Here is a 13,530-nt window from a genome sequence, read left to right on the forward strand (position 1 = left end):
AGTCCAGTTCCTGAGAACACTATTGCATAAGAGTGGCAGTGGGCTAGGGGCTAGGCAGAGAAATTGCGATTCAAAGGCTCCACCTACCCAGCACTGTTTAGATTATTATTGTTAAAATATACCCCAGCTGACAGACCAAATGAACACCCTGTGGCTAAAATGAGACACACCAGAAATGGATTCAAATGCCCACAGCAAGGAGAAGAGTTAATCAGGTACCCCTATATTACCAGCTGCCATAAGGTCTTCTTTCCTGTACTTGAACAAATACTAGTTCTTAAAAACACCTTCAAAACAGCTACAACTGGGAGTTTCCCAACTGACCTGGGTGGACCACCCAGCTCCAGCCAACTGAACTGCCCCCACCCCTCCTTGTGGCCCCACTAGCAACTCCAACTGGATAGGAGACTGACCTTACAAACATTCTTGCCTGATAAACAGCCACGAACTTCAACCCAGTTTCAGCCAGCTCATGGAGAATGTGCAAACTTCTTTATGCTCTTTAGTTCACATTTTGACATAAAATTTCACCTTACTTTAATGTTAAAACTCCACCCAAAAATAAGCACAATATTTCTGTTATGTATGTTTGCCTACTGCCACAGGGGTTGACTTCCCCCATAAATATTCATAGACTTCCTCCAAACCTGCTAAATACACGTCTAAGATGGCCCCTGAAAGACATAAATGCCAGTTCATCCTCTCCCCTCTTCAGAGTGCACTTCCATTTTACACCAAAGGCTGTGTCTTCCCTATCTTTAGATATTGTTTTGTTTTAAGAAAATAAAGCTCTCCCTTTTTCCTTCACAGATCTCATGGTCTTTTGTTAACACTATAAACATGTTGATTTCAGTCAGAAGCCAAGAGGTAAGAAGGCGCTGTGGATGGAACTTGGGCTTTAGGCATCAAAGCCCACCACTAAATAGAAGCCCAGTTTTGGACAAGTTATGTAAGTACATCTAATCTCAGTTTTCTAGTTTTAAAACAGACTTAAACTTTAAGTGAGTGAGGAATTTTAAAAATTAAAGAGGATAGATTTTGCAGTGCTCTATGTACAAATTTCAGCTCAGGCACTGACTGAAGTCCTAGGATGGCATCAGTTTTCCCCTCTTTAAACAGGAATAAAAATAGTTTCTGGATGGTTATAAGCATTAAATGAGTGAAATCACAGAAAATGCTTTCCTTAATGCCTGACGTACGAGCTTAAGAAGGGTAAGCTAATATTTTTATTAAAAACTATGTAAACGACTCAGCACACAACAAAAACATGTTAACTCCGTCACCCTTCAATATGGTGGACCCTGACCTAGAGGTCAATTAATCTGATAAAGGTTGGATAAATGCAGTGTATGGAAATGTGAGCTTCCTTCCTCCTTTTCTTCCTCTCTTCCTCCCTCCTTCCCTCCCTTCCTCCCTCCTTCCCTCCCTTCCTTCTTGGCTCATTGACAACATTTGAAACTGCACAGGATTTTGCCCTTCTAGAACACCTGTTGGGCTTTGCACAATCCAGGCAAATCATGTTCCTATGGTGGTAGATTTCCTGTGGAGTCTGAGGATAAAAATGCCAAGGGGAAGGCCTGTTTCCCGTATGTTAAATGAACGTGTGTTTTCTTCCCAGGAAAAAAAATATTGCGATGAAGAGGGTGTGCTTCAGAAACTCATGTTCCTGCTCTCCTGTGACTCTGATGATAAATCACAAGCACCTCCACACTGATGTCTGGGAGAAAACCACATTGGAGCTGACAAAATATAGTTTAACTAAAAATAGAATCACAAAATTTTCATCTATATTTTAAAAGTGTGTGGCGGGAATGGTAGGGTCCTGGAGGTGGGAAGGAAGGAGAAGAGGCAATATTACCAGCTCAGGTAGAGCTTCTGCTCCTTTTCCAAGAAGCACTTAAATGCTGAACTGATGACTGAGCCCTTGGCTGGGGACAGCCTGCTGTGGTGTTGGGGCTCGGGTGGATTCCCAGCCTTTCTAAACCTAAATGAACTCTTTTTCCCCCTGGAGCCTGCGGGAAGCCAGAAAAGGACCTCTCTTCCATAGTATGGGAGAGCTGCAAGGTTCAGGAGATTAGCAAGTGGAGCACAGCAGCTTCACCTTCAGTGGGTTGGATCCAGGCAAGCTAGTTAGAAATATCTCAGGGATGCCTGTCAGCTGTTCAGTGGCTTATGAGAATTGAGTGTGGGTAGCTGCTAAGTTCCTTTGGACACATTTTTTATAAGCCTACAAAGTCTACTTTTGGTTCTTGACTATGATATAGTTTCATATGTGTTTACTCCAAAGTCCTAAAAACACTGATGGGGGATAATTGTCCAAATGTAAACTATTATTGATATATTAAGATCTGTATTTATAAATAAATTTTTATTTTGATAGGCTTATCCAATTTATCAGAAATGGGGCCATTACAAATGTTAAGATAGCCTCTGATACTGATAAACAATATTAAAGCAAGCAAAGGCACAGATCTTTGCTCAGATGGAAACCGGTTGGGTGATTTTACTAATTCATTAATCCTTGACTGCCATCAAAGGCATAGTTGCATTATCTATCGATAGAATTTATCATAGTAAGAAAAGACCTCTGCATTTAGGTAGAGTCATAAGTGTTTATGCAGATAAATATATGCTTCTAATGTATTCCACCAATGCTTTGGAGAGTAAATACCCATAACTAGAGCAAATTGAGGATAAAGTGCAATGCTGGCTTATCCAGTGAGCAGGAGCTCTTCTGTGGGACTTTTTCTTTTTAATTTTCAGAATAACTTTTAAATAATTTGTTTTATAGTTTGTTCAGAACAATTCTCCTTATCTAAGATACTTTTAAAATCATGGTCTGAGTCATAAAATTCCACCTTAACAATTTTAAATTCCCCTGGGTTCTAGAATCAGTTCTATTGCTACTGGTGTAATCCTGTGCAGTCTCTTCCTCTCTTTGCGTTTAGTTTCTTCAGTGTGAAAATAGGATTGGATCAGGGCTGAACTAGATGTTTAATCAATTGCCCTTCAGCTCTAAAAATAAAAAAAAAAATCTTTGTAAACAAGTTCAGGTCACACTGAAGAGAATTTACCCCTCCGCCTAAATAATTCATAGACACCGTGAAAAAGTGATCCACTCATTCTATCCAAGTATCCTATGTATTCTCAAACTATTTTTGATTGAAGTAGAAGATAGGGTGTTTTGCTGAAAGTTTTTGAACCAGAATCACAGTCTCAATGGGAAATAGCTGGCACATTCAAATGGACACATTTAAGAGAACTTAGGTGGAATAACTATTTACATAGACACAGGCAGGATTAAAGAATATCAACTAGGTATGGTAGACATCCTAATAAACAATATTAGGAACTGTCACTTACCCTGGGACTGAAGGGTAAGAGGACAGAGTGGATACCAGTACACAGAGGGAGACCTATAACATTAGCATAAGAAAGGACAATTGGACAGGTGCCACAGCCTTGAGCAGGAGGGATGCAGTCATTGCTAACCCATGGCCCCACAAGAGGGGACCTTCTCCTTCCTCTCTTAGCTCCTTTCTGCACCTTCTATTGATCAAATCTAAAGCCAGAGAAAAGGGAGCCTATGAATACGGCCTGTGTTATTCAGGATTCTTTAGAGAAACTGAGCCAATGGTGTGTGTGTGTGTGTGTGTGTGTGTGTGTGTGTGTGTTGTGTGTGTGTATATATATATGTGTGTGTGTGTGTGTGTATATATATATATATATATATATATATATATATATATATATATAGAGAGAGAGAGAGAGAGAGAGAGAGAGAGAGAGAGATTTCAAGGAATTGGCTGATGTGATTGTGGGGACTGGTAAGTCTGAAGTCTGCAGCCTGTCAATCTGGTTGCAGTGTTGAGTCTAAAGGTAATCTTAAGGCAGAATTCCTTCCTTCTTGGGGTATTCTGGTCTTTTCCCTTAGGCCTTCACCTGATTGAATGAAGCCACCCACATTATCAAAGGTAATCTGTTTTGCTAAAAGTCTACTATTTGAAATGTTAATCACATCTAAAAAACTACCTTCACCAATCGCAACATCTAGACGGTATTTGACCAAACAACTGGCAACCATTCTTATCTAAGTTGATGCATAAAATTAACCATGGCAATATCGACATAGGTCAGCATTCAGGGGCAGGGAGGGTTGGAAAAGGTAGAGAGAGGATCAGAGGGGAGGGGACACAAACAGAATATTCAGCAACCTCTGTATAGCAGTTCTATCAGACTTCCCATTCTTTTTTTCTGCACTTCCTGAAGGTAGGAAGTAGGAGTATTTTGCTCACCGCTGGCTTCCAAGTGGCTAGTCCAATACCCGGCACATAACATAGAAGTTTCCTCCAGAGTATGGGTTGAATTGACTCGAATATTTTAGAAGCAAGTTCTGAGAAATGAGTGTTCAGTGAATTTTCCCCAGAGAGTAGCAATATCTCAAGAACAATTTGCAAAACAAGTAAATGCCATCACAATTTTCTATCAGCATTTGAGCATAGGACAATGTACCACATCGGATTAATCAGATGTGATCATATCTGCTAAGGCTTAAGACCAGATGACATTTCCAAGCTTCACTCTTTGCCTTATTAATAGAATAACTTTAGTCGTTGAACTGGATGATCTCCCATGCTGGCAAAGACTTTAAATTGCTCCCTTTGTAACCATGCAATTATATAAAGGACTGGCTATATTGCTAGGGTATGATGTAAGTCATTTATCAGGTAAATAATTCTGAATACAATCTAGTCTTAATGGCCCACACCTGCTAGGAATGTGACACCAGATTTACTCCCAACAAAGAAATGGGCTGGCAATCAAAATGCATCTTACGTGCCTCGTGACAGTGAAGAAAGAATGAAAACAGATGAAGTTGAAAAGACTTGAAAAAAGTGCGCCCTAGATTATTTGACACATTATTTTTGAGGTCTCTGAATGGTTGTTCAAAAAACTTACTGGAATATTATCCTTTGAGAAGTTATTTTTTTGGGGGCCAGCTTAGTTTGATCATCCTGAAACCAGGAGTAGGGAAAGGTGAAAAGGATCAAAGACAGTCATAGGTCATCTGATGGAGGAAGAAGGGTATCTCCAAGGCCATTGTGTCACTGAGGAGCATGGCAGCTATCAATCAAAATGCCAGTTTAGCTTTGTGCATCAGTTGGTTCTGATAAGCACCTGTTTCTTGTGTCTGTTGCTTTCCTGGTTTGCTCTCCAAATGAGCAGGTCCTTTAAATGGAAAATTAGCAAGTGGCCATCTGAGAATAAAATGAAAAGAAATATGTAAATACTTCATGCAGACACATGAGGCTTGGATGGTACCGCTTCTCCTGTGTTATCAAAAGAAATTGTCTTACAAGGACAGCCTGAGGCTAAATGTGTGAAGTGGCTAAAAGTTGTCACATTATCTTTCTGCACCTGCCTCTGTTCCTCTTCTAAAGTCCTTGTCATCTCCCCAACATCCTCCCAACACATGCACATGCATCACCCCCACCCCCCAACTCCTGTAGCTGTCCTGGGTCTTATTCCTACAGAGCCTGGTGAAGCTATTTCTCCACTAAGCTGGGGCTGTTGAATTTGTCTCTGTGTCCCCAGGGCTTAGCCCAACACCTGGAATCATGAAAGTGCTCAATAAATCTTTCATGAGTAAAGGAAGCTTCAATAAGATGTTAGATAAAAGAGGCTTAGTCACTTCTGGAGGGAGAGGTGTTTACAATTCAATAAGACATTCTTAAAGCTAGAGCCTCTAATAACAGAATTTCTGGCAACAGGATGGGTGGTGCATCACATCAGGAAGAGGAGCAGCTAGCTTTGCCTGGCAATGAGGAAGTCATGTCCTATACGCCTATTGTTTGTAAGCAGGAGGCAGCTCCTGCATTTCTAGGACTCTGGGCTCTATCTCAATCCAGGGCATTCAGTCACAGAAGGCTGCCACAGCTGCCACCAGCTCTCCTCTGCTCCAGAGTAAACCAGGGGCAGACAAAGGGTGCCCTTCTTTCCAGTCCTATGAGGAAAGCGTATACTAAGATACTTAGAAGCAATCTGGCCCCTTGCTGATACCACCATGTGTGTCTAATCACACTTCTTCTCCAGAATAATTATAACAGTGAAAAGGAGGCTTAGCATGACTAACTCCATCTTTCTCCTACCCCCCAACCCTCTGTGGTGATCTCTTTTGGTTAGTTACTTTTGCTTATTTCTGCACGTAGGTTAAGCTAACTATGGGAGGAATTTAGTTTATAGTTTGCAGTGAGGATAATAATAGTCCCTTCCCCAAACTAGCTCCCAAGGAGATAAGGAGGATGTACACACAAGTAACAATGTTACATTAAATATCTATAGGAGCAATGTGACCTGACCAAGGACAAAGAAGTTTCTCAACCCCCTGGATCCTTACTGCTGCCCAGATGTCTCTGGTCATTGGTCACCTTTTAACCTCAACCCCTTCCCTTCCCCTGCTTCCCCTAACCTAGAAGGAGCCTAAAATTTGTGTTAAGACAGCTCTTTAGGACACTCATCTGCCATCTTCTTGGTTTGCTGGTATCGGGGGAATCTGCCCCCAATATTTTAACATAGGTTCTTTCTATTTTCCATAAGTGTCAGCCAGCTGAGAAATAAAGAGAAAGAGTACAAAGAGAGGAATTTTACAGCTGGGCCGCCGGGGGTGACATCACATATCGGTAGGACCATGATGCCCACCTGAGGTTCAAACCAGCAAGTTTTTTATTAAGGGTTTCAAAAGGGGAGGGGGTGTAAAACAGAGAGTAGGTACAAAGATCACATGCTTCAAAGGCCAAAAATCAGCACAAAAATCACATGATTCTGAGGGAACAGGACAAAGGCAAAGCAGAACTACTGATAAGGGCCTATGTTCAACTTGCATGTATTGTCTTGATAAACATCTTAAACAACAGAAAACAGGGTTCAAGAGCAGAGAACTGGTCTGACCACGAATTTACCAGGGCAGAGTTTTTCCCTACCCTAATAAGCCTGAGGGTTCTGCAGGAGACCAGGGCGTATCTCAGTCCTTATCTCAAGAGCATAAGACAGACACTCCCAGAGCGGCTGTTTATAGACCTCCCCTCAGGAATGCATTGCTTTCCCAGGGTATTAATATTAATATTCCTTGCTAGAAAAAGAATTTAGCGATATCTTCCCTACTTGCACGTCCATTTATAGGCTCTCTGTAAGAAGAAAAATTTGGCTCTCTTTGCCCAAACCCGCAGGCAGTCAGACCTCATGGTTGTCTTCCCTTATTCCCTAAAAATTGCTGTTATTCTGTTCTTTTTCAAAGTGCAATGATTTCCTATTGTTCAAACACACATGTTTAACCATCAATTTGTACAGTTAACACAATTATCACAGTGGTCCTGAGGTGACGTACATCCTCAGCTTACAAAGATAACAGGATTAAGAGATTAATCTGTAATTTCTTACAGGTGTAAGAAATTATAAAAGTATTATTTGGGAACTGATAGATGTCCATATTAAAATGAAATCTTCACAATTTATGTTCCTCTGCCATGGCTCCAGCCGGTCCCTCCGTTCGGGGTCCCTGACTTCCTACAACAGCTGGCTCTTGAATAAAGTAACTTTCTTAGCCTCAACACCTTGTCTCTTGACTTACTGGCTGTGGTATGGTGAGTGGTATGAGCTTGAACTCAGCTACACAATCTGCTCTACCAAGTTGACTCCAGATCCATGATTAGACCTATGTCTTTATTTCCCATCAGAACCTAGCAGAGTATCTTCTAGATAAAATTTGTTAAATAAAAGATTTTTTTTTTTGCCTGATCGATGTCAATTTGCTGCTTAGAACTAAACGTCTTTAAACTTCTGGTTTCCCTAAGGAAGTTACTTTTGTATTTTCCAGTGCTTTTTTTTTTCTAGTTAAAACATTACATATGTAAATTCTTGATTAAAATATTCTCCAGTGACTTCTTATTTTATCAGAGAGTTCTTTGCCAACCAATGTGCTAAAGATGGATGCTGACATACTGAAATTCTGACCCTCATCCCAGCCCAAGGCCCTACAGATAGGGCTCTAGGTAGCTCAGGTCCTGGGTCTAGTTGCCTCTGACCAGCAACAGAATCTCCGTTTCACTCAACTTGCGGTTCAGGTGTTATCATTTTCTTCATATGCCATGATGTGGGGGAAAACAGTTTGAAAATATTGCTCTTCAGCAGGGGCTGGCATTTTTTTTTTTTTTTTTTCTGTAAAAAGCCAGATAGGAAAGATTTAGGCTTTGTGGGCCATATGGTCTCTGTGTCAACTAACCTCTGCCATTGTAGCATGAAAGTAGCAATAGACAATAATGAACTAATGGGCATGGCTGCGTTCCAATAAAACTATTTACAGAGATAGGTGGCAGAATGCAGATTTGGTCTGGGGGCCTTAGTTTGCCGAACTCTGTCCACAGGGTGAAGTTCGTTTCCTTGGTACAGTTGATCTTCCCATGCTCTTGTTCCGGTCTCCACATTAGCCTCATCTTTTCTACAGGCTCAAATGTCCCACACCATGGGAAGCAGTTCTCCCTTTTCTCCAGGTGTGTGTCCAGTGTCTCTGCACCCACAGCACCATGTTCACACATTTTCTCACTTTCATGTAACAACATGTTGGAGTGTCTGTCATATCCATCAGAGTGCAACATCCTGGATGGTTGGGGGACTGTATCATGGTTATATCTGTATCTATTAGACATATCACAGTATCTGTCATATCACTGTTTGTTGCATGAAGTTCTCACTGTTTATTGCATGAAGAGCATGGCAGCAAGGATAGATAGAAGGAAGGAAGAGGGAAGGGAAGGAGGAACAGAAGAAGGAAATAAGGAAGCATTCTCTTTCTGGTTGAACATTGTAAGTTTCATTGTCTCCAAGGAATATGCATGTCAGAGGAAAGTGTTGGTGACAAAGAAAGGCAAGGAGGGGTGGTAAAGAAAATGAGCAGGTGGTAGATTTAGGGAGAAGGTGTGTCCAATGGCAGGAAGAAGTTGTCTGAATTCTACAAAGTTCAATGGGTGCTATTGAGCCTGCATTATGTCAGAATTACTTGATGTTATCCAAGATAAGCCAGCATCATAAAATACATTCCTTAAGTGGTGAAATAAAAGGTTACGGTGGCAAGATGCTATTCAGCAACGCATTTGTAGTACCTCTGGGGCTCTAGAATTTATGACAAGGAAATGAACCAGAAATAAATGAACCAAAGCAGTAATAAGGGATGACTGCAAACTACAATTCAATTAATAACATACCTCAATTATGAAGCAAATCTAGAAGCCTTATGAATTAATTTCTTCTTCTTCTTTTTTTTCTCTCTCCCCCCTACCCTGCTTTCTTTCTCAAGTTATTTCCACATTTCCCCTGTGGTATTAATAATCATATAATGGTATTTTCTGTATACCACAATCTGGAGTGAAAACTTTCTCATCTTAAAGAAAAGTGCAAAGTTTCATGAGCTAACCATAAGTGTATCATGCTAAGTCATATTTCTTTAATCACTAGGGCTTACCCCCCACATATTTTTAGTCATGGGTAACACATAGTGAAATTTAAGGCATACAGTGTATAACATGCCAAAAATTAGAATGTTATGCCTCTATTCATGCCATAATTTGTACTTCATAAATAATATACTTCCTTATACATCATTTCAATTTGTCCTTAAGATGTGAATATTATATTACACCTATTTAGCAGTAATATCTACTGTCATGTTACTATAAGAATGTATTTTTTTCTTCCTGTTATGTCTGAGGTTTTGAGAGAATCTTACTCAAATGTCTCAGCTTTGTATCAGCTACATCATTAGGTACACAAGGACAGGTCTGAAGAGTTGCTTCTGCTAAATATTTGAAAAAGTGGCAGGGTCTTTGAGACCAGTGTGGAGGCAGCTGTGGGAAATAATAAGAGCTTTCTAAGGGTAAATGGGGCTTAGGACACAGTTGGGTTTCCCTAGTCCAGTGACTAACATTCATGCACAGATTGTTCTTTAGGTTCCAAACTTGATCATTGTAAAAAGAGCAATGGCTGCTTGGGCCAGGAGTAAACTTTCCAAAATCATGTAGTCCATTCCACGGGCTCCACATAGGATTGAAGCAATTTTTACCAAATCTACACAGAGGTTGAAACAGCATATTGGTCTATAACACAGCTTCTAGTCATTTTCAACTTATGGTAATAGTGCTTCTAATAATAGCGAGCATATAATTTGACAACACATAGGAGCAGTAGTTTAAATTGTATTATCAGCAGATTATTCTTCTCAGCTTTGCTTGATTCCTCTAATATTTATTGTTAACTCAAAAACATGCCAGTACACAATATATTTTATAAGTCCTAAATGTATACTGTATTGATGGAAGTGAAGCTGATTTAGTACACAAATACAAAAAGGTCCCCGCAGTTGTTCTAAAATCAGTTAACCCAGGACACTTCCATCACTGCCAAAGGAGAAACTATTTCTGGCTGTCACTCATGCTTGACTACACCTTGTCAAACCCACAATAAAACTTTTCCTCTCATATCTCCCCCAAATTGGGAGACTACTTAAATTATTCATTGCCAGGTAGAGCACACATTAACCTCAGCTTCTGCCAGAATGTTTGTTTGTTTGTTTGTTTCTGCTGTCAGTTATGCCCCTAGGATACGCTGGATTTGAGCAGAGGCATCATTTGAGGGCAGTTGGGTAGTAAATCTTCCTCATGTTCTCTGAGAAAGCAGTATTTCAGTGGCCAAGAGAGATTTGCCTTTTATTTAACCAGCAACACAATGAAAGCAAATGTTTTCAGCATCAACATTTCCCTTGGCCTAATATATGTTTTAATGTTCTATAAACTTAAATGATTTTAATGGCCTTATGTTCAGTAAACAAGCACATAAACAAGATGTGGAGGAAATTTTCCTTCAATGTTTTTCATTTCAATGCCATGTTTGGGGAGAAAAAATACAATTTCTATATCTTGAAGAAAATATTCAAGCCCCTCAAGTTATCCCTGGAAGACATCAAGGGATATTCATTATCCATTATTAGTATCTAAGAGTTAATATTTATTTAACGTTTACTATGTGACAACATTTGTTTAAAATGTTTTGAATGTTTAAAAATGTTTTGAATTCTTATTAAAAGGCTCTATAAAGGAGATGCTTTTATTATTATTATCTCCATTATATAGACGAAGAAACAGAGGTAAAAAGAGGTTAAATAATTGTTCAAGGCTCTACTATCATTAAGTAGTGGAGGAAGCTCAAACTTGGACTTGCTTCAGAACCTTGTCCTCTTAGCCACTAGGCTACCTTGCACTCTGTCATCTACAGGGTAATGACTGGTGGCAGAATAGGCCACCCCAAATATGCCACTTCCAGATAGTGATTATTTTGAGCTGAGCATAAGTGAGAAGAAGCAGATACAAGAAAAGCTCTCTGTCCTCCCTCATTTGCCTAAGAGCAGGACATAAATTTGTAAAGATGTCCCCACTCCCCTCTTCATCAAGGACAGAAAGTGAATCACCAGAGATAAACTCTCAACCCTTAACAGCTCAGAGAAATTTACTTAAAAGACTTTACTAATCAGCTTTACTAATCGTCCATTGGTTACTCCTATATATTTACCTTTCCATAATTTGCTGCCCTAAACACTCAAAGTCCTTTTCTTTTGTCTTGTCACTTCTCTAAAATTTATTATTCTTTTGCTAAGATGCTATAAAAGCCCAAGTTCTAACTACCCCTTCGAGTTACTCATCACTGAGATCTCTCATGCATGTGTGCAATGCACATGTTACAAACTTCCATTTGTTTTTCTCCTATTAATCTGTCTTTTGTCAATCTAATTGCACAGGGCCCCAGTTAAAGACCTAAGATGGGTAGAGAATAAAAGGATATTTTTGCTCCCCTAGTGTACCATTTTCATGCACGCCCCTGTGAAGAGACCACCAAACAGGCTTTGTGTGAGCAACAAAGCTTTTAATTACCTGGGTGCAGGTGGGCTGAGTCCAAAAAGAGAGTCAGCGAAGGGAGATGCGGTGGGGCCATTTTATAGGATTTGGGTAGGTAAAGGAAAAAGGGGGGTTGTTCTCTGGTGGGCAGGAGTAGGGGTCCCAAGGTATTCAGTGGGGGAGCTTTTGAGCCAGGATGAGCCAGGAGAAGGAATTTCACTGATGTCATCAGTGTCATCAGTTAAGATAGGAACAGGCCATTTTCACTTCTTTTGTGGTGGAATGTCATCAGTTAAGGCAGGAACTGGCCATCTGGATGTGTATGTGCAGGTCACAGGGGATGTGATGGCTTAGCTTGGGCTCAGAGGCCTGACATTCCTGTCTTCTTATATTAATAAGAAAAATAAAATGAAATAGTGGTAAAGTGTTAGACGGTGAAAATTTTTGGGGGTGGTATGGAGAGATAGTGGGCGATGTTTCTCAGGGCTGCTTCGAGCGGGATTAGGGGTGGTGTGGGAACCTCGACTGGGAGAGATTAAGCTGAAGGAAAATTTTGTGGTAAGGGGTGATATTGTGGGGTTGTTAGAAGAAACATTTATTGTGTAGAATTATTGGTGATGGCCTGGATACGGTTTTGGATGAATTGAAAAACTAAATGGAATAAAAGAAGGAGAAAAACAGGTATAAAAGGTCTAAGAATTGGGAGGACTTAGGGCATCTGATTAGAGAGTGCTTAAGGATATTCAGCATAGTCCTGCCAATAAAGATTATTTATTTACTTCAAGAGTTTAGAGTGGCAGTTTGGGGATAGCACCACGAGATATCAGCTGTGATGGCTTGGAGAAACAGTGTAAACCGGCAGTGTAAACAAGAGCAGGGCATGTATGAGTAGTTGAGAATGGTGAATAGGAGTATGACTAGACAGAAGATAGTAGGGATGACAAGTTTTTTTGGGGCACAGTGTAAGTCGGTCTGGTGTCTGGAATGAGACTGGGGCCTAATAAAAAGGAGTGTCTATACAGGAGCTCAAATGGGCTGTACCTTGTAGCATTCTGAGGACAGGTCTGACTTCTGAGAAGGGAAAGTGGTAAAAGTATTGTCCAGTCCTTTTTAAGTTGGTGGCTGAGCTTGGTGAGGTGTGTTTTTAAAAGACCTTTAGTCCGTTCTACTTTTCCTGAAGACGGAGGACCTTAAGGGATATAAAGGTTTCATTGAATACTAAAAGCCTGAAAAACTGCTTGGCTGATTTGACTAATAAAGGCTGGTCTGTTATCAGACTGTAAAGAGGTGGGAAGGCTAAACTGAGGAATTATGTCTGACAGAAGGGAAGAAATGACTGTGGTGGCCATCTCAGACCCTGTAGGAAAGGCCTCTACCTATCCAGTGTAAGTGTCTACCTAGACTAAGAGATATTTTAGTTTTCTGACTTGGGGCATGTCGAGTAAAGTCAATTTGCCAGTCCTGGGCTGGGGCAAATCCTCGAGCTTGATGTGTAGGGAAGGGAGGGGGCCTGAATAATCCTTGAGGAGTAGTAGAATAGCAGATGGAACACTGAGAAGTTATTTCCTTGAGGATAGGTTTCCACGATGGAAAG

General features: G+C 40.4%; 1 annotated feature.

The window, feature by feature from the left end:
- Nucleotides 11,860-12,465: an enhancer, noted in NCBI's record as "NANOG hESC enhancer chr6:145424274-145424879 (GRCh37/hg19 assembly coordinates)". NCBI's record gives its function as "activates a minimal SCP1, AML or CMV promoter by ChIP-STARR-seq in primed H9 embryonic stem cells {active_cell/tissue: H9 hESC(primed)}" and the evidence as "EXISTENCE:reporter gene assay evidence [ECO:0000049][PMID:30033119]".

Source organism: Homo sapiens, chromosome 6 (genome assembly GCF_000001405.40).
Source record: "Homo sapiens chromosome 6, GRCh38.p14 Primary Assembly".
NCBI lineage: Eukaryota > Metazoa > Chordata > Mammalia > Primates > Hominidae > Homo > Homo sapiens.